This window comes from Homo sapiens, chromosome 19 (assembly GCF_000001405.40).
Source record: "Homo sapiens chromosome 19, GRCh38.p14 Primary Assembly".
Lineage (NCBI taxonomy): Eukaryota > Metazoa > Chordata > Mammalia > Primates > Hominidae > Homo > Homo sapiens.
This window is the reverse complement of record NC_000019.10, coordinates 16,844,720-16,870,984: the sequence shown is the minus strand read 5'-3', so window position 1 is coordinate 16,870,984 and position 26,265 is coordinate 16,844,720. Positions and strand designations below refer to the sequence as shown.

At 52.0% G+C, this 26,265-nt stretch overlaps 1 protein-coding gene across 4 annotated transcripts in view, besides 2 other annotated features; it reads right to left on the bottom strand.

Annotated features, from left to right (window-relative positions):
- Positions 1 to 26,265, bottom strand: part of SIN3B (SIN3 transcription regulator family member B) — a 50,952-nt gene that overhangs the window by 9,365 nt on the left and 15,322 nt on the right. Inside the window, exons 5-14 of one of the 4 annotated variants that reach the window (NM_015260.4) lie at positions 23,872 to 24,015; positions 19,451 to 19,573; positions 17,827 to 17,916; positions 16,724 to 16,842; positions 8,426 to 8,633; positions 8,006 to 8,101; positions 7,189 to 7,305; positions 5,337 to 5,575; positions 4,429 to 4,612; positions 910 to 1,525 (exon numbers count right to left, since the gene is read on the bottom strand). In NM_015260.4, the coding sequence (NP_056075.1) occupies positions 910 to 1,525; positions 4,429 to 4,612; positions 5,337 to 5,575; positions 7,189 to 7,305; positions 8,006 to 8,101; positions 8,426 to 8,633; positions 16,724 to 16,842; positions 17,827 to 17,916; positions 19,451 to 19,573; positions 23,872 to 24,015 (1,936 nt within the window). Of the gene's footprint in view, positions 1 to 909; positions 1,526 to 4,428; positions 4,613 to 5,336; positions 5,576 to 7,188; positions 8,334 to 8,425; positions 8,634 to 16,723; positions 16,843 to 17,826; positions 17,917 to 19,450; positions 19,574 to 23,871; positions 24,016 to 26,265 lie in introns of those variants that run through there. The other 3 variants (NM_001297595.2, XM_006722704.2, NM_001297597.2) reach the window with 3 other exon arrangements.
- Positions 23,680 to 24,179: an enhancer, noted in NCBI's record as "H3K4me1 hESC enhancer chr19:16957617-16958116 (GRCh37/hg19 assembly coordinates)". NCBI's record gives its function as "activates a minimal SCP1, AML or CMV promoter by ChIP-STARR-seq in naive H9 embryonic stem cells {active_cell/tissue: H9 hESC(naive)}" and the evidence as "EXISTENCE:reporter gene assay evidence [ECO:0000049][PMID:30033119]".
- Positions 24,180 to 24,681: an enhancer, noted in NCBI's record as "H3K4me1 hESC enhancer chr19:16957115-16957616 (GRCh37/hg19 assembly coordinates)". NCBI's record gives its function as "activates a minimal SCP1, AML or CMV promoter by ChIP-STARR-seq in naive H9 embryonic stem cells {active_cell/tissue: H9 hESC(naive)}" and the evidence as "EXISTENCE:reporter gene assay evidence [ECO:0000049][PMID:30033119]".

Sequence of the window (26,265 nt, the reverse complement as noted above, 5' to 3'; positions counted from 1 at the left end):
GCATGGTGGCCCATGCCTGTAATCCCAGCACTTGGGGAGGCTGAGGCAGGCGGATCACCTGAGTTCAGGAGTTTGAGACCAGGTTGGCCAACATGGTGAAATCCTGTCTCTATTAAAAATACAAAAAATTGGGCTGGGCGCGGTGGCTCATGCCTGTAATCCCATCACTTTGGAAGCCCGAGGCAGGTGGATCACAAGGTCAGGAGTTTTAAGACCAGCCTGGTCAAGATGGTGAAACCTCGTCTCCACTAAAAATACAAAAAAAAAATAACCGGACATGGTGGTGGGTGCCTGTAATCCCAGCTACTCAGAGGCTGAGGCAGAGAATTGCTTGAACCTGGGAGGCGGAGGCTGCAGTGAGCCGAGATCATGCCACTGTGCTCCAGGCTGGGCAATAGAGCAAGACTCCATTTCAAAAAAGAAATACAAAAAATGAGCCAGGCATGGTGGTGAGCGCCTGTAATCCCAGCTACTTGGGAGGCTAAGGCAGGAGAATCACTTGAACCTGGGAAGTGGAGGTTGCAGTGGGCCGAGATCCTGCCACTATACTCCAGCCTGCGCAACAGCGCAAGACTCCATCTCAAAAAAAAAAAAAAAGAAAGAAAAAGGGTACTGTGGAGCTGGGCCATGACGGCTCCACGAGAAAGCCCATGAGAAACAAATGTTCCCCAGTCAGGAGAGGGTGCTACACCCAGGACAGGTGCCACGGCCAGGGGAGCCTGGGCGAGGGGTACGTGAGACCTCTGTCTTATGCTGGCAACTTCCTGTTTGCAATTTCCCATTTGAAATCACAGAATTCTCTTAAAATGAAAAGCCAGAAAGAAAAGTAACAGGACATGTCAGATCATGAGCTGTGACCCCTAACCCCAGGCACCCCCCGGGGCCTCCCGGCAGGCTTTGGAGCCTTACTGGGCTGCTTCAGCCGCAGCTCCATGGCGGGGTCGCTGCCCTTCTCCCTGCGGCCCTCACACAGCAGCTTCTCCCGCTCCTTCTCGGTCCGATACTCCAGAAGCTGCTTCTGCGCCTGGCGGTAGATCTTCAGCAGCCTGGAGCACAGGGTCTGGTGCAGGCGCAGGAAGAAGTACCAGTTGTTGTTGGCAAAAAATAGGCTGTAGACATCGTCCAGGGGCTTGTGCGGGGCTGGGGGCGGCAGGGGTGGCTGCTCAGTGGCCGGGGCATCCCCGAAGGCCCCCTTCTCCTCTGGGGGGCTACTGTGGGGTCCTGGCGCCGGCTTCTTCCGCTCACTGGGGTCTGTGGTCTGCCCCTGGGGGCTGTCCCGGTCCTCATCAGCTGACTCCTCGGAGGCGCCCAGGTCCAGCTGCTGAGAGAAGAAGAGGCTGGGCACGAACTGGTGCAGCAGCTGGTGGATGGTGCCCTGGTCCTCCTTCTGGATGGCCGGCTGCCGCTTCACGTAGTAGCTGATGAGCGCTGCTGCGTCCTCCAGGATCTGCCGGTCCTCGTACACAAAGATGAGGTGCGGCTCGCTAGAGGGGGCACTGCGGCCCTCCGAGTGCTGCTCCTGGTGCTGTGGGGGGAAGGGCGGCCATTAGGTGGAAAGCCACCCAGCACCCAGAGGACCCCCAGTGCCCATTCACGACTCGCTGTTAACTGGGCCACCAAGGTGGATGAGCGCTGCCCAGAGCAGGATGGGTGGCGAACATCGGTGAGGCAGCAGGGCCTGGGGGGTAGGTCGCTTGCCTCAACCTCTTGTGCAGCCCCATGTGCTCCTGGTCCCCTCTCCGAAAGTGAGGCAGACCCAAGTCATCCCGGGACCCCAGACAAAGGAGCCAAGAGGATTCTGAGATGTGGGGCGGGGTTCACAGGGGGTCTGACAGCGTCAAGCCTGGGTCTGTCGCTCAGCCCAGCTCCAGGACAGAACGGGGCCCCGTGGCTCAGCATGGAGAAGCCTCTGAGGCTGACCTCCTCCTACTGAAAGCAACGGTGGCGCCTGATTCCAGCTCGACCGGGGCTGCCCACACCATGCTATCGATGAAGTCAAGGAGGCAAAGGGTGAGCCGTGACCTCTCTGCCTCTGCCCTCCATCTACTACCCGGAAGGCCTGCAACTGCTCACATCTGAAGACCTGCACGCCCATCGTCACCAAGCCCCCGCCTCCGCTGCTGTCCCCGCCAGCCCCTGCACGTGCTTGCTACCACCATCATGTCACCAGCCCTCCCACCAGCTCCCACCAGCCTGCTCCAACCACTCTCCTCACTGGGTCCAGGGTGACTTGGCCCACAGGAGCATGGTCACCCCAACTAATGCCCTTCAGGCTTTCCCAGGCTGCTCAGAAGACGCCGGCCCCTGATGTGCCCCTCCACAGCTCCTCCAGCCTCACCGCGCCAAGCTCCCTCCTGCGTGTGCAGGGCCTTTGCACATGCCCATCTGCTCTCACTCCCTGGAAAACCCTGTCCCAGGCTCACCCCTCCCCTTGGTCTTTATCTAGATCATGACTTTCATTCCCTCACACCATTAGACAATCACCCCTTCCTCCAGCCTCCCACACCACTGTCCTGGCACCCAGGGCCTCTGCTGGGCAGCCCCAACCCCCTCAGTCCAAGGCAGGGAGGCAGACGCAGCAGGGCTCTTGGGGAAAATGAGCGTGGATGCCATCTCTGCAGGCTCCCGAGGGAAGGACCGGGTCTCCTAGCAGCCTGAGGTTTCCCTTCCTCCTCCCCTGCAAGGCGGCTTAGAGGCTGGTAGGGCCAAGCACACTGACCTGGTTCCTAGGAGTCTGCACGCTCAGCCCTGCTCTGGGCTCTTCAGTGTGACCATCGCCCTCTGACTGCTTCCTAAGTCCCCCAGGTCTCATTTATGCCATAAACACTCTGAAAATTCCTTTACAGTCCCCTCTGAAGCAGGGTCCCCATGTCCATGATCTGTAACCATGCTTTGTAAATCACGTGATGGAATGGGGTTCTGACTTTGGAATTCATCAAGGACCTGCATGTGCAGAGATCTGCATATGAACCTTGGTGCCCCTCCCTTTGTCAGCCCCAGCCCCAGGGAGGGATCCAGGAACTCAGGGTCGCATTGGTGGATTTCCAGGGCTACTTCATCATCTGCACTTTGCAGACACCACAGACCCACAGAACCTATACGGGGTCTTGGGCTTGAGGATCGCCGAGGACTAGAGTGAGGAAGCCAGAGTGGTTGTGGGTGGGCCTGGGGCGAGGGTGGCCCACGGGAAGGGAGGTGGGAGGGAAGGGGGTCCCCACAGTCCCACAGGCTCTGGGAGAGGCCTTGGGCCAGCAGCCCGGCTCCTGTGGATTCCGTTTCTGTGTTGTAAAAGAAGGAGCGACCGCTCACTGTGCAGTGACAGGAGCAAGAAACCAAATCAGGTGAGGCAACACCCCCTGCCCAGGTGGGCACCAGGCTGATAACGCAGCCCGTGCCATGATCTGGGCACTGCCTGGGGAGTAGTGTGCCCTCCTAAGCCACCTCCTCAGAGTGTCCAAGGACCTTCCCGACAGCTGGCTATCACCACGCCCGGCACCCTGCCAAGCTTCCCACCTCAGGATCCTGCAAGCAGGCACTCCCTACACACAGCTACTAACAGGCCCAGCTCCTGGCAACCTGAGGGCCCCGCTGGCCTTGGTTCTATGACTCAGGCCTTGTGAGCCTGCAGTGAGGACATGCAGCCGAAAGCCTCGAACCCAATGACTCAGAGCCCTGGCCCCCTGCGACCAGCCCAGGCAAATGCAACCTCTTGTGCCTCAGTTTCCCCACTGGTAAAATCAGAATAATGCCGCAGCAGAGTCAGGTTCAGGAGTGAGGTCAGATGATGCATTACTCTTTCTGTGTTGCTAACACCGGTGCCTGGCACAGTCGGCAAGAAAGAAATGAAGGCTGCTGCCACCCACTACCTAAGCCAAAGTCCATCACTGCCCCACGGGAGGGACGGAGACTTCGCTAGACAATGGCAGAGTCGGCCAGGAGCGGTGGCTTACGCATGTAATCCCAGCACTTTGGGAGGCTGAGGTGGGTGGATCACGAGGTCAGGAGTTCAAGACCAGCCTGGCCAACATGGTGAAAACCCATCTCTACTAAAAATATAAAAATTAGCTGGGTGTGGTGGTGTGCGCCTGTAGTCCCAGCCACTCAGGAGGCTGAGGCAGAAGAATCACTTGAACCCAGGAGGCTGAGGTTACAGTGAGCTGAGATCACACCACTGCACTCCAGCCTGTGTAACACAGCGAGACTCTGTCTCCAAACAAACAAACAGATAGACAATGGCAGAGTTGCTGGTTCTCCTAGGGCAGGCCACAGGCTGGGCATCACAGAGACATGAACCCTCGCCTCAACACAGCCCTGAAAGGGCAATGCCACTACCCTGCCTAACCACCAGGGAAACAGAGGCACAGACCCGGCGGTCGGGAGAGCCAGGACCCCACCCCCACCGGCCGGCAGGGCTAGGGAAGGCTTTACCTCGTCGTAGACGCTCTCGATCTCGTTGAGCAAGCTCTTGGAGCGCAGGGCCTTGGTGTCGTTCTGCTTGAAGTTCACAGCCTGGTGGTCAAGGGACTTGAGGTACGCCTTCTCATACTGCTCCCGCCAGATCTTGTTGAAGCCCTGCTGGGCCTCCCGCCACTCCTCTTCCTTGGCCTTCAGTCTGCGGGGGGAAGAGAGGTCAGCACCAGGGACAAGCCAGGGCATCCTCCCTGAAGCATCCCAGGGCTGGCCTGTCTTCCTCTGGGACTTGACTGGGGGTCCAGGACCCAGGCCCAGCCAGCTCCCAGCCTAGTCTGTGCAGTGGGCTCTGTGCACGTCAGAGGGAGGGCGTGATGGCCTTACAGAGCCAATGTGGCCGGCTTCCCGGTTCCTCCACCTCCTCCCTGGCACCCAGCACTCTCCGCATGGCTGTTGGCTCAACCACTCAGGTCCCCTGCTCAGCTGTGAGTCCCAAGAGAGGGACTGGGTCTGCCTCACTCAGCTGCATAATCCCAGGGCCAAGCACTGCACCTGCCTGAAAGTGACCACTTGATAAATGCCTGTTAACTAGCGCCGGACGGCATCCGAAATGCAGCATTAAATAAAATGCAAGCCACAGTGTAGTGGTCGCATCTGACTCTTAAAGCAGTTATTTAGATGTCTAGATGTATTATGTGCAAGGTGGAAAGTCCTAGAAGGTCACAGTGCTCTCCTCTCAGGAGTGGGAGACTGGGAAATACAGGAAGGCACCCTTAGGCCTCAGAGACCACCCCTGGAGATGACACCTGTTGACAAACAGCACTAATGAGCTCTCCAAGGGCTCCCTGCAGTGGGGAGGGGAGGGGAGGGGAGGGGAGGGAAGGGGGAAGGGGAAGGGGAAGGGAAGTCGGGACGCCACAGGGCACCTTTTCAGGACAACGGGGACAGCGGTGACAGGGTTCTTCTTGAGGCTCTCGATGATCTCCGGGGCCTTGTCGCCATAGATGCGATAAATGGCACGGCGCTGGATCACCTCCGACGTGCCTCCCAGGGAGTCGTCCAGCCGGAACTTCTCCTGGTCTTCCGGCGCCATCCGAGACAGCTTCTTCTGCACACTTTCCAACACACGGATTGTGGCCAGGTTCGTCTCCAGGACAACGTCTAACTATGGAAAGGAAGGCAGGACGGGGTCAGCCACTGGGGAACTCAAGAGGCCTCAGAGAGGAGCCTGGGACCTCAGAGACCAGAGGATTTTTTTGGGGGGGGGGTGTGTGTATTTAAGAGATAGGGTCTTGCTCTGTCACCCAGACTTGAGTGCTGTGGCACAATCAAAGCTCACTGCAGCCTCAACCTCCTGGGCTCAAACAATCCTCCCACCTTAGCCTCCCACGTAGCTAGGAATATAGGTGTGCACCACCATGCCTGGCTAATTAAAAAAATTTATGGCCGGGCACGGTGGCTCACGCCTGTAATCCTGGCACTTTGGGAGGCTGAGATGGGCGGATCACAAGGTCACGAGTTCGAGACCAGCCCGACCAACATAGTGAAACCCCGTCTCTACTAAAAATAAAAAAATTAGCCAGGAATGGTGGTGTGCCTGTAATCCCAGCTATTCAGGAGGCTAAGGCAGGAGAATCGCTTGAACCCAGGAGGTGGAGGTTGCAGTGAGCCAAGATCATGCCACTGGACTCCAGCCTGGGCGACAGAGTGAAACTCTGTCTCAAAAAAAAAAAAAAATTTTTTTTTTGTATAGATGGGCTCTTGCTTTGTTGCCCAGGTTGGTCTTGAACTCCTGGCCTCAAGCAGTCCTCCCACCTCAGCCTCCCAAAGTGCAGGGATTACAGGCGTGAGCCATCGTGCCCAGCCAATAAAACTTTTAATTACAAAAATTAATGTAGCCTGGGCAATACAGACCCTGTCTCTAAAAAAAGGAAAAAAAAATTAGCCAGGTGTGGTGGCTCATTCCTTTAATCTCAGCACTTTGGAAGGCCAAGGTGGGAGGATCGCTTGAGGCCAGGAGTGTGAGACCAGCCTCGGGAACACAGTGAGACTTCATGTCTACAAAAAAAGTAAAAAAAACAACTTGGGCATGGTAGTATGGACTTGTGGTTCCAGTTACTCAGGAGGCTGAGGTGGGAGGATCATTTGAGCCTGGGAGGTCAAGGCTGCAGCGATCCATGATTACGCCACTGCACTTCCAGCCTGGGAAACAGAGCAAGCAAAATAAATAAATAAATAAAATAAAAATAAATTTAATTTTTACATTAAAGAAACTTTTTAGGAGACAGGGTCTCATTCTGTTGTCCAGGGTGGAGTGCAGTGGTGTGATCTCGGCTCACTGCAGCCTCGGCCTCTCTGGCTCAAGCAATTCTACTGCTTCTGCCTCTCGAGTAGCTGGGATTACAGGCGCCCGCCACCACGCCCGGCTAATTTTTGTATTTTTGGTAGAGATGGGGTTTCGCCATGTTGCCCAGGCTGGTCTCAAACTCCTGAGCTTAAATGATCCACCTGTCTTGGCCTCCCAAAGTGTTGGGATTACAGGTGTCTGCCACTACGCCCAGCCCAAACAAAATTTTTAAACAGAAAGAAAAGTGCCATCTGGTAGCCAGCCCAAAGGCCAGCAAGACCCGGCAGGAAGCTTCCAGGAGCTGTTGGAATGTGCTGCAATTCCTGCTCCTCCAAACGAGACTGGGGCAGTGGAGGAGGATCAGGATGCATGTCCCATGGAGAAGGGGAACAGGCACATGCCGGGGGACCCGGCCACAGCAGCACACACACCTCGAAGCGCTCGTCCTCACAGCGGTGAAGCTGCTCCTCGTACGGTGTCTTCTTGGAGCTGACGAACGTGGAGTCCTCAGACCAGGAAGGGAAGGAGACCCAGGTGTCGTTCAGTACCTGCACCAAGAGGAAATGCCGTGAATGACGCTGCATGCCCCAGGAGCCAAGATTTACTGTTAGCCAGTGTAGAAAGTACCAAGATACATAATACCATCCTGATACATAATACCAACTGCCTTATACAAATGGGAAGGTGCATAAAGTTTTTAAGGAAAAACATGACTTTGGTCAAGTGGACACTCCCTTGGTATCCTGGGAGATTGGTTCCAGAACCACCCCTGAAGACCCAAATCCACAGATACTCAAGTCCCTGATGTCCAATGGAATCCTATTTGCATATATCCTATGCAAAATCATCTCTAGAATACTTATACCTAATGCAATGTAAATGCTGTGTAGATCATTGTTACACTGCATTCTTAAAATGTGGATTACGCTTTATTGCTGTATTGTCATTTTTTGGTTTCTCTTTCCCCACGTATTTTCAATCCATGGTTAGTTGAAACCACAGATGAGGAACTTGCAGATCCGGAGGGCCGATTTCATTTCAGACATTGGTAAATTCTCTCTGCAAAGGGTCAGACAGCAACCATCTCAGATTTTGCAGGCCATCCCAGATGAATACTCAACTCTGCCTTTGTGGTGAGAAAAGCAGCCACAGGCAATATGTAAAGGAATGGTTGTGTCTGTGTGACAGTAAAACTTTATTTACAAACACGGGCAGCGGGCCAGGGCCCGTGGGCCAGAGTTTGCTGACCCCTGCACTATATCCTGGAATCCAGCAGGTATTCTTGAACTTGGACATGCAGTAATCGTCTGTCCACGAACCCTGGAGAAGTGTCCAATGGTCAAGCTAAACAGAAACACACTGAGGTCAGTGAGCCCGGGACAGAGCAGAATCATGGCAGCAATAAACCTAAGTCAAATAACAGATGAATAAGCCGAACTCCACGTTATCCCTGGCACTCTGTGTTTTGCCAAAACTACCAGCAGGGTACAACACTGTTGTCTCTGCTCAGGTGGTTTTGCCGGGCCACATCCCAGCACCACCCATAACCCAACATTCAGGAGGGCTGAGCACACAGCATTTCATTCATAACGGGGGTATCGGGTGTTTGCTGGGGAGGGGTGGGGGATGCACCATGTCAACGAACATTTGAGCCCCAGGGAGCGCTACCTCCTTGCAGATGGCTGTCCTCCCACTGCACTTGGGCTGCTGGTAGGTTTTGGGGAGTGCCCGGTAGCTGGATCCTATGCGCTTGCAGGATGCATAATCAATTTCCCGGCTTATCCCGTCCCCGGATCTGTCGCTCATGGGTGGCGCGAAGGACAGCTCTTTTACCCCCAGGAAGGACTTGAACTGTGCAAAGAGTTCTGGAAATTTCCTTCAAAGATAAAGACACATGGTAACTGGTCATCCCCAGGGCCTTCTGAGAGGGATCTGGAGATTTTAGAATGGCTTCATGTGGACATTACAAGTTAAACAGAGTCAGAATTCAACATCATGGATGCGAATGAGAGGCGGAAGAATCCAATACACAGGAAGTCACTGCAAGTCCCGGGGTGTGTGAATGAATGGGCCTCCCACCCATCTGTCACACACCAGGTCCCTTCCTGTGCCTATTAATCCCATACTCACAGTAAGGCTTTGAAATACACCAGAAAAGATGACTTAAACTGGCAGAAGCTGGAACCCCTGATGTTCCCTGACTGGAAGAGGCCAGGCTTCAGGCCAGGGAGTGGCAAGCCACAGCCAGTCTGCACACTGCCTGTGTTTTGTTTGGTTTGGTATTTTCTTTTTAGAGATAGTGTCTTACTCTGTTGCCCAGGCTCAAGGGCAGTGGCATGATCTCAGCTTACTGCAACCTCAAACTCGTGGGCTCAAGAGATCCTCCCACCGCAGCCTCCTCAGTAGCTGGGACCACAGGCATGTGCCACCACACCCGGCTAAATTTTTTTTTTTTTTTTTTTTTGAGACAGAGTTTCACTCTTGTCGCCCAGGCTGGGGTGCAATGGCACAATCTCGGCTCACTTCAACCTCCACCTCCCGGGTTCAAGCAATTCTCCTGTCTCAGCTTTCTGAGTAGCTGGGACTACAGGCATGCACCACCATGCCCGGCTAATTTTTGTATGTTTAGTAGAGACGGGGTTTCCCCATGTTGGCCAGGCTGGTCTCAAACTCCTGACCTCCGGTGATTCACCCGCCTCGGCCTCCCAAAGTGCTGGGATTACAAGTGTGAGCCACCATGCAGGGCCAATTTAAAAATTTTTTTGTAGAGATGGGGTCTTGCTATGTTGCCCAAGCTGGTCTTGAACTCCTGGCCTCAAGTGATCCTTTCACCTCAACCTCCCAAAGTACTGGGGTGACAGGCGTGAGCCACCATGCCTAGCCATCCCATTGTAAATAAAGTTTCACTGGCCTGCAGTCACATCCACTTGTGTACGCACTGCCTGTGGCTGCCTGCACAAGAGGGGTTTGAGTCATTTCCACAAAGCCCATCTGGCCCCTCAGAGATCAAGTTTGCCTATCTCTGATCCACAGTCTTCCTCTCATGAGGGAGACTTCTCTCTGTGAACCCCTCTCTGGACACAAGCTTGAAAGTCATAATGTCATGGCTGTGGTCGACAACAGGAAGGCTTTAATGCAAATGACCCTACAATGCCACCTGGATTTCTGTTTAAAATAGTATCAGACCTGGTGGTGTGTACCTGGAATCCCAGCTACTCAGGAGGCCAAGGCGGGAAGATCACTTCAGCTCAAGAGTTTGAGACCAGCCTGGGCAACAGAGCAGGACCCCGTCTCTAAGCAGTAACATCAGATCCTACCAAAAAAGTTGCAGTTATGGCCAGGCGCAGTGGCTCATGCTTGTAATCCCAGAACTTTGGGAGGCCGAGGCGGGCGGATCACGAGGTCAGGAGATCGAGACCACGGTGAAACCCCGTCTCTACTAAAAATACAAAAAAAAAATTAGCTGGGCGTGGTGGCGGGCGCCTGTAGTCCCAGCTACTGGGAGAGGCTGAGGCAGGAGAATGGCGTGAACCCAGGAGGCAGAGGTTGCAGTGAGCCGAGATCACGCCACTGCACTCCAGCCTGGGCGACAGAGCGAGACTCCGTCTCAAAAAAAAAAAAAAAAAAAAAAGTTGCAGTTACTTTGACTGCTGGTGCCACAATCCTGCTGTGACCTAGCCACCCAGCCCACCCTCGCATAACGACGTCCCCCTCATTGATGTGGGCTCCGTCGTTCCCCGTATTTAAGAACCCTATGCCAACCCTGCTCACAAGGAAAACCCACAAGCCGATGGAAACGTAGGAAGGAAAGAGACCAACAAAAAAGCTGCAGAGATGCCTGAGGCTACTGCTGGGATAAACGCAAATCGTGACTGCTCTGAAGGGAATGCTCAACCCGATCCACCCTGGCTGCCACGCGGCTGCCAGCTGCGAGGGGCAGTTCCCTGGGCCGTGTTCAGCTGCCCAGCCCAGCTGAGCACTTGACCGCAGGTTGAACACGCGGAGGAACGCCACATGGTGGTGAACGCTCCTAACCCAACCAGGCCTCGTGTCAAGCACACGCAGAGGCCCGCTTCAATTCTGGACCTTGCTCCATACAGACCCTTCCCCAAACGCCCTTCCCCATACGAGTCTCTACTGCTGAAACATGGAAACAAGAACAGCTGACTGTGCTCCGGCACTGCCCATCTGTTCAGCACCTTGCCTTTCAGATTCTCACCTTTCATGTTCCTTCTGTCTTCCCCTCTAACCTCCTGATAAACCCAGGAGGGAGGTATGGCCATTTTACAAAGACACTGAGGCTCGCTTGGCTAGTAGGAAGCAGAGTCCCAATTCCAACCCGGGGTGGTCACGTGCCCGCTGGACCCAGGTGCCAACACCAGCTCCACACACAGCCCCTGGGGGCCCCTTTTCCCAGGTGGGACCCAGGCTCAGAGAGTGCTGGATTCTAAGCCCAGTGGAGGCAACTCAAGGTGAATGTGCATTCCACATCCACAGAAAAAGCCCAGCCGTGTGCCCACCACCCACGTCACAAACAGACCCCAGGAGTCCCCGTTTTGGCTGAGACTAGAGTAACACCATCCTGCTCTGGGCTGTTCTTCAGGGCGTTTACAGACCTTCAGCAGCCCAAGAAAGAAAACCCACTGAAAAGATCACCCCAACACGTGCATGCCTGAGACCACCAGGGAAAGGCCTTCTGATGGGCTCAGCTTGACCCATGAGGGTCGCAGACTCAGGAGCATTTGCTGTCAACACCACTTACAGGGAGGACTAGAGACAAATGTCCATTGTTAGAGACCCTGGTAAGGGAAGGAAAAGCGGTGCAGTTGCTTAAAAATGAGGACATGGGTTCACATCTGATGCTGAAACACTTCCAAGAAATGCTGAGTTAAAAAAAAAAATACACACCGAAGCCCAGCAGCCACTGTGCCCAGAAGGCAGAGAACATGCAAAGGGCTGGCTTTGGGGCTGGAGCACCCTGGCTGCCGCCTAACAGCACGCTAAGCTCACCTATGAGTGCTTGTCCTAGAGTAAGTTAGAGGGGTTCGACCTGAGCCTCAGCTTCCTTATTTTTTTTTGAGACAGGTTCTCACTCTGTTACCCAGGCTGAGTGCAGTGGTGAGATCAGGGCTCACTGCAACCTCTGCCTCGAAAACTCAAGCGATCCAGCCACCTCAACCTCCAAAGTAGGTACAGGTACACGCCACCACTTCTGGCTAGTTTCTGACGAGGTCTCACTATGTTGCCCAGGCTGGTCATTTTTTTTTGTTTTCGTTTTTTTGAGACAGCTTGCTCTGTTGCCCAGGCTAGAGTGCAGTGGTACAATCTTTGCTCATTGCAACCTCTGCTTCCTGGGTTCAATCAATTCTCCTGTCTCAGCCTCCCAAGTAGCTGGGACTACAGGCACAGGTCACCATGTCTGGCTAATTTTTTTATTTTTAGTAGAGAAGGGGTTTCACCATATTGGTTACGCTGGTCTTGAACTCCTGACCTCAGGTGATCCACCCGCCTCAGCCTCCCATAGTGCTAGGATTACAGGCGTGAGCCACCAGGCCCGGCCTTGGTCTTAAACTCCTGGATGCAAGTGATCCTTCCCCCTCGGCCTCCCAAAGTACTGGGATTATAGGCATGAGCCACCACGCCTGGCCCCTCACCTTTAAAAGGACTAGAAACGGTATTGAAACGCATCAAATATATTTTAAGTCCATGAATTCATTAAGATGCTAAAAAAAAACAAAGGAAACAACCTAATTGGTCCCCTTGGGAAGATGATATGAAAGCAGTTCATCACTCTGAGGCCGTGACTAGGGAGGAATCAAGGCTGTAATCAAGCAGCTATCCTGGGCCACTTCTTATAAAAGGTGAGAAATGCTGTGGTGATCCTCCTGTGTAACCCCAAATGAATGAGCAAACCTGGGAGGCTAATATCACAGAAATAACAGGGACAGGGATAGGCAGAGGGGCATCAGGACAAAAATAGTAAGGACTAGAATCGGAGGGAATCAGAGGTGAAAGGAGACTTACGAGATGTATTAGAAAACAAAACCCAGGGCCTGGGCGCCGTGGCTCACACTTGCAATCCCAGCATTTTGAGAGGCTGAGGCAGGCGGATCACTTGAGGCCAGGAGTTTGAGACCAGCCTGACCAACATGGCGAAACTCTGTCTCTACTCAAAATACAAAAAGTAGCTGGGTGTGGTCACAGGCACCTGTAGTCCCAGCTACTCGAGAGGCTGAGGCAGGATAATCACTTGAACCTGGGAGACAGAGGTTGCAGTGAGCTGAGATCGCACCATTGCACTCCAGCCTGGGTGACAGAGTTAGACTCCGTCTCAAAAAAAGAAAAGAAAAGAAAAGAAAAGAGAAGAGAAAAGAAGCAAAGCAAAGCAAACCCAACCCAGATGGGGGTGAGACTGAGTCATGTATTTGGCGATGCCCACCTGGGTGGCTGTGCCGTCATTAGTGCAGGTGGCGGTCACTCCTGAAGTCAGGACACTCTCACAGTGAGGGGCAGGGACTGGAATGGTATGCGGGGGTGCTCCTGGAGTCTATTTTTGATGTGGGTGGTGGGCACATGGGTGACTGCTTAATAAAGATTCAAGCCATTTGTTGGCCATGTGGTTTCTTGGATCTGTGCTTTATTTTACATTAGAAAAATGTTTATGTGTATATATACACACACACACACACACACACACACACACACACACATATTTTTTTTAAGTTAATGCAAAAGGGCTCACACAGCACCTGTCCCCAGGGTTGATTCAACTTTTTCCCATTTAGAACAAAAAAAAAAGTCCAGCTTGCTGCCAGCGCTCATTTAATTTTACATAAACACACTCTTTGAGGCTGAAGCAAATCTGACTGATTTTCAATGTGAAAGTAAAATATAAAAACTGTTCTTGGAGTTATTTCTAAACAGAACATCAGAATCGTCTGAATCACCAGAATCGTCTATTTTGGAACAGTCAGATTCATCAAATGAATCTTTGGCCAACAACTGTTTGAGAACAATGTTAACATCAAGTGTAGGAATGCTACATTTTCCAAGATTTGACATTTTCAGTGATCAAGAATTACTATATTTTGTAACTGGAAATATCACTACTAAAAACAGGATGCTATACATAAAATGATGTCTTTTATTTCCAAAGTTGATATATGACAGCAATGCAAAAATAATAATAAAAATGAGATGCTTCATGGCAAAGTTATCTTGGGGTGAACGCTACAGCCACAAGTGCTGTCAACTACTATCCCTGGGGTAAATGGGAAAAGGGCTAAGGACTGAATGGACTGATCATGTTAATATGTGCACCCACCATGTGCAAGAACCATTAAAAAAAAGAATCATGGCCAGGCATGGTGGCTCACGCCCATAATCTCAGCACGTTGGGAGACTGAGGCAGGCAGACTGCTTGAGGTCAGGAGTTCGAGACCAGCCTGGCCAACATGGCAAAACCCCATCTCTACTAAAAATACAAAAATTAGCCAAGTATGGTGGCACACATCTGTAATCCCAGCTACTCAGGAGGATGAGGCAGGAGAGTCACTTGAACCTGGGAGGTGGAGGTTGCAGTGAGCCAAGATCGCGCCACTGCACTCCAGCCTGGGCAACAGAGCAAGACTCTGTCTTGAAAAAAAAAAAAATCTTCACGTGTATTTTTCTCCATGCTCTTCGATTCTTTAGGAAAGATCCAAGTTTGTGACTTACATCATTTCCTTCTGCCGAAAAAATCGTCTTTTCCTTTTATTTGTGAGATTCTATTGTATTTGAAGGGCCCTGCAGGTAGCGCCCACCTGCAGCTCTCAGGAACCCCACATAGGTCGGTACATTTACTATCCCCATTTTACAGCAAGGAAACAGAGGCTCAGACTGCCCAAGTGACTCACCCTAGTCACAGGGCTGATGTGCAGGAAGCAACACTGGCCCCAGCTGGCTCCCAGGTCTCAGCACTCACAGGCCCGCCTACTCCTACCGCGCACACTCCTGTGAGCCCGAGAATGGATACGAGTGTGCGCAGTTGTTTCCAGGCCCCTCCACTCAGTCCCAGCCCCTTCCTGAGGCTGACCTGGCCACCAGAGGTTAGAAGCTACTCTTAGACCTGACCTGCTAATGAGGCTTCTCTTTGTGCAGCAGAGGTATAATATATATACATATATTTTTTGGATACAGGGTCTCACTCTGTCACCCAGGCTAGAGGACAGTGGCGTGATCACAGCTCACTGCAGCCTTGACCTCCCTGGCTCAAGCTATCCTTCTAGCTCAGCCTCCTAAGTAGCTGGGACAACAGGCGTGTGCCACCACCCCCGGCGAATTTTTATATTTTTTGGTAGAGACAGGGTTTGGCCATGTTGCCCAGACTGGTCTCTAATTCCTGACATCAAGTGATCCACCCACCTCGGCCTCCCAAAGTGTTGGGATTACAGGTGTGAGCCACCGCACCTAACCCAAGCCCGACCCAAGGGTTAGAATTATTTTTTTGTTTTGTTTTGTTTTTGAGACAAAGTCTTGCTCTTGTCGCCACCCAGGCTGGAGTACAATGGCGTGATCTCAGCTCACTGCAACCTCCGCCTCCTGGGTTCAAGCGATTCTCCTGCCTCAGCCTCCCAAGTAGCTGGGATTACAGGCGCCTGCCACCACGCCCGGCTAATTTTTGTATTTTTAGTAGAGATGGAGTTCCACCATGTTGGCCAGGCTTGTCTCCAACTCCTGACCTCAGGCAATCTGCTCACCTCGGCCTCCCAAAGTGCTGGGATTACACACGAGCCACCGCACCCGGCCCAAGTGTTAGAATTTTTAAAAGTATTTATCAGGTGAATCTCCAGGGAATTTTGCTGGGGGGGGGGGGGGGAAGGTTTCTCCCAGAGGGTTCCTCCTGTACAGTTCCATTACTGTAACATTGTCTAGAGAACAGATAAGTAGTTGCCAGGGGTTTGGAACAGACTCCGGCTGAGGCAGGGTTTTGGGATGGAGATAAAAGGTCAAGGCCAGAACTTGACAGTCCTGGAGCCGTTCAGTATCTTCACTGTGGCGGACGCACAACCCTCCACAGTGAGAAAGCTGTATAAAAACACACACACCAGACGTGTATGAGGAACACGGAGAGTCTGGAAAGAACGGGGGTTGTGTGAGAGTCAGTACAGTAAGTCCTCACTCAACATCATCAACAGGTGTTAGAAAGCTGTGTCTTTAAGTTGAAAAGATGTGTAACAAAACCAATTTTGCCACAAGCTAATTGACACATAAACAAGAATGACGTTCCTACGGCGTATTTTTGGTCACAAAACAATCACCAAATTTCTAAAGAGAGACCAAAACACTTCTAATATTAAACACTGAAATAAATGCAAGCCACACATACAGATAAGAAAGATGAGTAAAAACAAGTAAAATAACAATTTACCCAATTATTCCAGTTCAGGATCTTGGGTGGCCGGACCCTATCCCAGCAGCTCAGAGCACCAGTGGGGCACCCACCCTGGACAGGACGCCACCCCACTGCAGGGCGCTCACCCCGCCACACTCACTCAGGCTGGGACCACGGAGACTCACCGCTTAACCTAGACTTAACCTAACATGCACATCTTTGGGATGTGGGAGAAAATCCACGCAGACATGGGGAGAACGTGCAAACTCCACTCAGACCAGAAATGAATGTCTTCTTTTCTCATCGGTGTTAAAACAGTGTTAAATGAAAAGGCATTACTCGAGGACCCACTGTATTCTGGTGAGGATACTGACTACAGATGTTACTGGTAAAGGAACCAGCTGGAGGGTACCCAGGTGGTGTATTGCTCCTTACAAATGCATGGGAATCAATAATTATATCAATCACGTCAATTAATAAACAGGATTTTAGAAAAGCACAATCATTGCTCAAAAACAGTAACTAAAAACCAAGTAGATGGAGTTGACAGGAACAGAACCCCCCTAGGGAGCCCTGGGAAGTCAGCTGCTCACCCCAGAAATGGGCTGACGAGCTGCAGGAGCTCAGAGCCAGACACCAGCTCCTGGTTGAAGAGTGCGATGCAGCGGAGGAAGTTTTCATACACCTCCTGGCTCTTCAGCACCCGGCGGACCTGCAGAGAGAGCAGTCAGGGACCACTGTGAACCCCTGCTCCTCAGCCTCTGGGCCTGGCTCACTTGTAGGTCAGCCACATGGGTGTGCGATATGGGAACCAACTGTGTCTATAAGTAAATGATATCTGTGCTGCAATTCACACAGCCCATGCACGCAATCCATGCACCAATTCACGGCCTGTGCAGGTGATCCATGCAGCAATTCACAGCCCGTGCACATAATCTGTGTAGCAATTCACACAGCACAGGCACGTGATCCATGCAGCAATTCACAGCCCATGCACGCCATCTGTGCAGCAATTCACACAGTCCCTGCACGCGTCCATGCAGCAATTCACAGTTTGTGCATGCGATCCGTGCAATTCACACAGCCCCTGCACGCGTCCATGCAGCAATTCAGTTCGTGCATGTGATCCGTGCAATTCACGCAGCCCGTGCACGCGATCCGTGCAGCAATTCACACAGCCCATGCACGCAATCCATGCAGCAATTCACAGCCCATGCATGCCATCTGTGCAGCAATTCACACAGTCCATGCATGTGTCCATGCAGCAATTCACACAGCCCGTGCACGTGATCCATGCAGCAATTCACAGTCTGTGCATGCAATCCATGCAGCAATTCACAGCCCATGCACACGGCCACCTTGTCTGCTCTGCCCACAGACCCTGGGCGGGAACCCTACAATCATCCCTGATATAAGAAAAAGCCACACAGCTGCAGGGTGGCAGACATGTATGTCTTCATACTCTGCTTGGAGTCTCAGCACCCACTGGGACTCCTGCCCACAGTATATGCCTGGGCTCCAAGGAGGCCCACATTCCCTTCCGCAGTGAAAGCTGGGGGCCAGCCCCGCCGGATCCATCCTCAGACTGCACCCACCCTACCTGCTCCCCGCCCCAATCCTGGGGCAGGCCCAGGGAGCATTGGCCCAGCCAGCTGGACATGGCATCCCCAAGATGGAAGCCAGGGCCCACCCTCACCTTGTCAAAGAAAGAAAATTCCTGCAGAGTCCCGTACTTCCCCACTGCAGCGATGGACAGGTCTTTGGTACCACGAAGTTTCATTTTTTTCTGTGGGGAGAAATTCTATGCAGTTAACACTGTGCCTCCCACCGGTGGCCTCTGTCCATCGCTGTCACAGAGTCTCAAGAAGGCTAAGACCGTGCTCTCCTTTGGGAACTGCCATGAGATGCTCAGTGAGGGACAGGCAGGAGCCGCTCAGTTACCCAGGACCCCTGAGATGACACCTCTGGGGATACCTGCCACTGCCAAATCTGGGATCTCCATCTCAGCAGGGTAGGGCTTTGGGTAACAGGCAAGAGTGCCACAGCATCAGAAAGGCAAGGGGGATGTGCCCCTGGCTACGACAATCTCAGAATCCTTTCCCTGTTTTGTCCTGAGAGCCAAGACAGCAACAAGAAGCGGACAGGAAGAGGGTGGCACTGGGAAGACCCTGGAGAAGCCAAATGTTGAGTCTCTGCAGGCTTTTGTCTCTAAGCTGGACTTGGACCTGAACTTGGATGCACGATCATGGCAAGAAGGACAACACTGTCCATCCAGAACTATCTCCAAAGTGCCTGAAGAATGAGGATGAGCTGGGTGCAGGGACTCACGCCTGTAATCCCAACACTTTGGGAGGCTGAGGCGGGAGGATTGTTTGAGCCCAGGAGTTCGAGACCAGCCTGGGCAACACGATGAAACCTCATCTCTACAAAAAGGTGTGGTGGTGCACACCTGTGGTCCCAGCTACTTGGAAGGCTGAGGTGAGAGGACAGCTAGAGCCCAGAGGTCAAGGCTGACTGTGCCACTGCACTCCAGCCTAGGTGGCAGAGTGAAACCCCATCCCCCCACAGGAGAAAGAATGATGAGGACATGCCAAAAGGACACAGGAAGGCTGAGGCAGGACAATGGCGTGAACCCGGGAGGCGGAGCTTGCAGTGAGCCGAGATCGCGCCACTGCACTCCAGCCTGGGTGACAGAGCGAGACTCTGTCTCAAAGGAAAGAAAAAAAGGACACAAGAGCCAAAGGGACCCCGCTGGCCCAATCTGGAACAGTATGGACATCAACACTAGAATGGATTATAACCCAGAGTCCATATCTAATATACATAACTAAATAAATGGGAGGACGACAAAGTTCCCACCAATAGTAGAAAGCCAAGTAGTAACTGCACAAGGAATAATGGAATCGGAAAACCACCATTGCAGGTGAAAGGCGTGACAGGAGCTGGATCCCAGCCCCTCTCTGCCCTCAGCTGTGCAGTGACCAACCTGAACAAACGTACATGGCGGCCTTGCCTGTGAGAGAGTCCTGAGGGTGAAAAGGAGACTGGGTGGTACACCCTGTTTCTTGGGACCTAGGGCAGGGTTAACACTCCTTCCTCCTCCTCCTTTTCAAAACAATCTCACAGGACAGGGAGAACGGAAGAACAGCCACCTTAGAGGAGAGCTGACTTCCAACGGTCCCACTGCCGGTGAACCTCACACAGCCCCCGGTCCAGCCCCGAACCCCTGCTGGGGCCTCTGTTCCCTGGTCACATGCTGGGAAGGCCCGATTTGCTGGGGGCCCCGCGTGCAGGCATGGCTGCATGTGGCTCACAGGTACCTTGGCGGGTGCAGACACGGGGCGGAGGAGCGAGGGCCGGGAGCGCTTCCTGCTGTGCTCCGGGGTCTTGTCGTGCTCGTTCTTCTGCACGCTGTGCATCTCGCACGGCCCGTTTCCTGTGAACTAAGGACACATGTGGGAGGTGGTCAGCACCGGAGACGTGGCTGGACCCATGCACCTGAGCATGCAGAGCTGCTTCCAGCTCAGCCCACAGCCCGGTGGGCAATGGTGGCCACGGGCACCAGGCCAGATGCTCCGTCCATGCGTGAGGTGACTCCAGCAAGATGCTCACATTCCAAGGTAACCGAATCATCACAGACTAACACTGCCAGGCTGGGAGAAAGCTCCTGTGAGGCCTTTATGGATAAGGGAGGGAGAAGGGCTGGGGGTTTCAGGAGGGAGACAGCTGAGTTGGGTCTTCCCGTGCGGGGGCTCATGTGGCGGCCACTGGTGGGGCATCTCGCCGTGTGCATGCCGGCACCACAGAAACACAAGGTGCAGTGGACAGAGAAACAGGCAGCAAGGGGAAGTGGCTGATGTTTGCCAGGGCACTGGTGGGGGCCTTGGGGCCAGGTTTTGAAGTCTTTTCTATGAATGACAAAACGTTTCTGGGGGATGATGTCGTCACTTGCTGGGAGCAGAGTGGGGCTCGTGGCTGGTTCGGGGCCTGCCTCCCAGGCTCCAGCCATCGGCTAACAGGTCGAGGATGCTTGTCCCGAGCAGGGTGCCTACAGGGTGCCAATGACATTTACAAAGAACTGTTCTGCAACAGTCTACTATGAACATACTGGAAGGCTGGACAGGCAGGGGACGATGGACAGACCGCAGCTTTTCTGCAGGACGTGGGCAGAGCTGGAGAGGCCCTACAACGTTCTGTGCCACTGCGGTCACCTCCATCGTACTCCGCCTTCCCCTGCCACCACAGGACCTGGATGCAAAGACACCCCCAAAGACCTAAAGTGTGGGTGAGATGGACAAGTCATGGTGCATCTGAACAAATCAGCCCGCAGCGATCAGATACTATGGGCTGGCTCTGGGCTGCTGTTAGGGACAGGCATACCTGAAATAAAACAAACAAACAAAAAAAAACAAGGAAAAACCCCAAAAACCCAAGGGGCAGAACAAATAGGATGCCGTGTGTCGCTTTGTAAAAAGTATTTGTTACACATGCAGAGGAAATTTCTGGAAAGATATACAAGACACTTAGAAGTGCTAACCTCTGAGAAGAATGACTAAGAACTGAGTCAAGGGAGAGGAAGTTTGCATTAAAAATTTGATACTCTTGCTAATACTTATTTTTTCATTAGTGTATACTATTTTTACCATAATAATAATAAAGACATTATTTAGCCACAATACTACTACTACTACTAAAAAAGACTTATTATTTAGCCACAGTTAAGACTTAGAAGAATAATTTGGGGGGAATAATTACCAAAACTCAAGGCTATTTGAGTTTTGGGGGGAATTATTTGGGGGGAATAATTACCCAAAATTCAAGGCTATTTCGAGAGCTGTAAGTGGAGAAATTGGCATCTACACAATTCTCCACTGGTACATCTTTTTTTTTTTTTTTTTGAGACGGAGGTCTCACTCTGTCACCCAGGCTGGAGCGCAATGGTGCGATCTCAGCTCAGTGCAACCTCCGTCTCCTGGGTTCAAGTGATTCTCTTGCTTCAGCCTTCTATGTAGCTGGGATTACAGGCACGAGCCACCACGCTTGGCTATTTTTTGTATATGCTGGAACAGGTGTAAACTGATTCCCAAAAGATGCAGCTGGGCGACCATATGACAAATGCTGAACAAGAACAGGGGACCTGGAGGGGAAACCCGCCATGCGTCCAGCCAAGCTCACCAAGCAGGTATAGCAGATCTTCCCCAACAGTTCACATGGTTCTTGCTTTTCAGTTAATCTCCCAATTATGTGAACATCTGAGCTAGATGGACCCCCAAAGACCACCTAGGCTAGGGAATGGCAAATTAACACAGGGCCTGTTGTTCTCATAAATAAAATTTTTTATCAGCACCTAGCCACACCCATTCCTTTTGTAAAGTTATTGGTACCCAGTCATGCCCATTCATTTTGTAAATAAAGTTTTGTTGGTACCCGGCCACACCCATTCATTTTGTAAATAAAGTGTTATTGGCACACAGCCCTGTCCAGTCATTGACATACATATTCCATGACTGCTTTCAAGCTACTAGGGCAGAGGTGAATCTTTACACAAAGATCAACTGGCCTGCAAAGCCTGTGATACTTACTATCTGGCCCTTTGTAGAGAAGGTTTGCCAACCTCTGATCCAGGCCAGTCAAATTTAATTAGAGCAATGCCAAATTTCATCTTGGTTTCTTTTTCCTACAGTTTTAATATATGTCCAAAAGTTAACATAAAGATTATACTTCACACAACAGATGCAGTGCTTTTAATAATTTTAAAAAGTTGATCCAATCTTTCTAAATATACAAGATAGCTCTAATAAACCAATACACACTAAAAATCTTAGCTAAATTGGTAATAAATGTTATTTGAGAGTCTCATGCTCTACTGACTGAGCTAGCCGGGTGCCCTGCATAAATGCCACTTAAAGAAACCATGGACTGGGCACAATGGCATATGCTTGTAATCCTAACACTTTGGGAGGCCAAGGTGGGAGGATCGCTTGAGGCCAGGAGTCTGAGACCAACCTGGACAACATTGTGAGACCCTGTCTCTACAATTAAAAAATAAAAGTAGGCCGGGCGCAGTGGCTCACACCTGTAATCCCAGCACTTTGGGAGACTGAGGCAGGTGGATCGCTTGAGGCCAGGAGCTCGAGACCAGCCTGGGCAACATGGCGAAGCCCTGTCTCTACAAAAAATACAAAAATTGGCCTGGCATCGTGGTGGTGTCTGTAGTCCCAGCTACTCAGGAGGCTGAGGTGGGAGGATCACCTGAGCCTGGGAGATGGAGGTTGCAGTGAACAGTGATCAATTACGCCACTGCACTCCAGCCTAGGTGACAGACAGAGAGCCTGTCTCAAAAAATAAAAACAAACAAACCTTAATGCAATAAAACTTCACACACTGATGGCTACTAAAAACAAAAGGCAAAAAAAAAAAAAAAAAAACCTGGAAAAGAACAAATGTTGGCCAACATGTGGAGAGACAGAAACCGCAGTCCATTGCTGATAGGAATGTAAAATGGTGCGGTCACTGTAGAAAACAGTTTAGAGGCTCTTCAAAAAGTCAAAAACAGAATTAACATGTGACCCAGGAATTCCACTCCTAGGTGTCTACCCAAAAGAACTGAAAACAGGTGTTCAAACAAATCCGTGCAATAAATGTTGATGGCGGCACTGTTCACAACAGCCAAAAGGCAGAAACAACCCAAATGTCCATCAACAGAATACGGATAAACAGAATGTGGCTCATCCATCTAACAGAATATGATTCAGCCAGGAAAAGGAATGAGCACTGATCCACGGTACGACATGGATAAACCTTGAAAACATGATGCTGAGTGAGAGGAGCCAGACACAAAGGCCACATATGGTGACATTCCACCCATCTGAAATGTCCAGAATGGGCGAATCAAATCCACAGAAACAGGAAGCACATGGGCGTTGCCAGGAGCTGGGGGAGGTGAATGGGGTGGCTGCTGATGGGGACTGGGTCTCCTTTCAGGGGGATGAAAATGTTCTGGAACTAGGTAGTGGTGAAGGTTGTACAACACTGAGGATGTACCACATGCCATGGAATTGTTCACTTTCAATGGTGAATTCGATGTTACATAAATTTCACTTCAATTTTTAAAAAAGTCTTATGATCATAGTGGGGGAAAAAAGAGGAATCGGAACAGGCGGCCCTGGCAGCTTCAGGCCACAGGCAGGGGAGAAAGGCTGACTGTGCAGGGTGAGCCCTGAGCCCTGTCTAAGGCCCCTCCTCGCCCATCTCTGCTCTCTACCACCATGGTCAGGGCCAGGCCACAGGCCACCCCCGCTACTGGCTCCTCCAGATCCAACCTGCTGGAGCCCCAGATCAGTCTCATCCAACAGGGGAAGCGATGATTGTGGACCCAGCCCTCCTGCACCTTCCCACAGGGCTGGGGTCCCAGGCAGGGTGGGGCTCTGCAGGGCAGACACAGGAGGTGGAACCCCTGGGCCCATAGTCTCCACTGGAAGATGCTCTCTGCCTCCCAAACCACCCCAAGATCCAGGTACTGTCTGTACAGAGAAGCACCTTGGCAAATCGTTTACGAGCTTGCTGTGCAGGTGGAGCCTACAGTGAGGAACCCCTGGGTATCTGCAACCTGCGTAGCTTCTGGGGGACCCTAGTGTGGCCTGGAGGGTACATAGGCTTGGCCCGGACATGGGTCAAGCTGGCTGGGGCCCTCCGTCCTCGCTGAGGCCCCCGAGGCTGGGCAGGGGCTCTCGGCACTCACCAGAGACCGCTTGGCTTCGGGCAGGAACTGTCCAAACTCTGAGAGCAGGTCCTCCTGGCCCCGGAAGAGGTTGGCCACCTCGGTGAACACCTCCTCTTCAGACATGCCTCGGAATGGCCGGCCCCTCGTGTTCAGCTGCTCCTTCTGCCAGTTTTCAGGAAAGGGAAAATAAGTCGTTAGTCAAGGAGTGCTGTGCCCTGGGCCGGGACACTCAGGCAGCCCTCCGTGAAGGGGACAGGATGACTCTCAGGAAAGAGCACCTGCCCGCAGGGTCCTGTCTGCACACTTGTGGATCTTGCTGCCCAGCATGGCCTGAGCCCCGGCCATGGGCAGGTCCCGTCCAGGAGTATGGTGGGGACCCAGCAGTGTCCACGAACAGAGGGGGCAGGGAGGTGACAGGCTGGCTGTAATCAGGGGTGGGCCGGGGAAGTACAAGGTCAGGGGCGAACCCCAGGCCTTCCCAAGGGAAATGGGGAGTGTAGAACTGGGGAGCGCTGGGCCATGAAGGGAAGGGACTTCCAGGCCGAGGCACCTACTGGCCCGGAGTCACTGAGACCCAAGGAAAATGGCCTGATCCAGACCTTAAAGCAACAAGAGGACCAAAGGGAACCCAGGTTGGAAGGCAGGAACGGGCCAGCAAAACCGCCGTGGCTGTTAGAAATACGTCCGTATCAATTTTACACCCAAGAGTGTCACAGAACAAGAGGCAATAGCACCGGAGCCTCCCGGATAATATGGCGTGGCTTCCAGAGTCCCACTGCACGGCTGCAAAGCAGGAGGAATCCCTGTGCTGGCGCCTCCTGCCCCTCTGCACCCGCTGCAGCCTGTGGGAAGGGAAGCAAGTTTTAAATCTTGGCACCGGCAGCACCTACACTGCAGGGGAAAAAAAACACCACCCTTCCAAAAAGTCATCAAAAGACACTAAAAAGCAAAACTTAAAAACAAGCAAAGGCCACTCAGTTCAGATAATAAATAGAAATGATCTATCTGCATACGGACAGAACAACGACCACACTGAGTGAAGTTTAAAGAAACAATTTAGGCTGGGCATGATGGCTCATGCCTGTAATCCCAGCACTTTGGGAGGCCGAGGCAGGAGACTGGCTTCAGTCCAAGAGTTCAAGACCAGCCTGGGCAATACAGTGAGACCCTATCGCTACAAAAAATTTTACACTTGATCTTAGCCAAAATGCTGAGAAATGATTAAAAAAATTTGTTTTAAACATTATGTAGGCATGGTGACACACTCCTGTGGTCCTAGTTACTTGGAAGGCTGAGGCAAGAGGATTGCTTGAGCCCAGGAGCTCAAGGCTGCAGTGAGCTACCATCATGATAGTGCATACTCCAGCCTAGGCAACAGAGCAAGATCCTATCTAAAATAAATAAAGAAGAAAAGAAACAATGACCAAATTGACTGATGTTTAAAGAAACAATTTAAAACAGTGCCACAGCCATCTCTGCTCATCTGACTACACAGACAGAAGAGGCTAGGATTTCCGATGAGGGTGTGGGGAGCAGGTGCTCTCAAACACAGAAGGCAAGGCCAGGTGCGGTAGCTCAGGCCTGTAATCCCAGCACTTTGGGAGGCCAAGGTAGGCGGATCACCTGAGGTCAGGAGTTCAAGACCAGCCTAGCCAAGATGGTGAAACCCTATCTCTACTAAAAATACAAAAATTACCCGGGTGTGGGGGCGCGTGCCTGTAGTCCCAGCTACTCGGGAGGTTGAAGCAGGAGAATTGCTTGAGCCCAGGAGGCGGAGGCTGCAGTGAGACGAGATTGCGCCACTGCACTCCAGCCTGGGTGAAAGAGACTCCGTCTCAAAAAACAAACAAACAAACAATCAAACACGGAAGGCAGAAAGACAAATTGGTACCACCTTTTAGAAGGAAATTGAGTGATCTCTATGAATGCATAGTACGCCCTCAACTTAGGGAAGTAGTTTCTGGAAATTCATGCTGCAGAGACAGTCAGTTCTGCTAGAATGCTTATTTTGAACAAGATGTCTGTCTAAATGAGATACAAGTACTGGGAATAATTTGAGCATGAGGTGAATTTTCTGTTTGCTTCTCTTCTATTTTGTGCAGGAGAAACACCAGGTGAATGCAGAAACTGCTCCCGGCTGACCAGAACCCCGTGGGAGTATGCAAAACCACGCCAGCACCCCCTCCCATGTCCATGCACTCTCTCAGCGTTCCCCTGTGCTAGGGGCCAGCCCTGTCCCCATCTGAGGCCACAATGACCTGTCTGATTTCAGATGACCTCCTCCCGGCCTTCACATAATTCACAGGCTGCCACCAGATCCACAAACCAGCCTCAGGTCTCTTCCAAGGTCAGTACCCGATTTGCTGTGGCATTCATGTAATTCTCGGCCACTTAATATGCGCGTAACGGCGC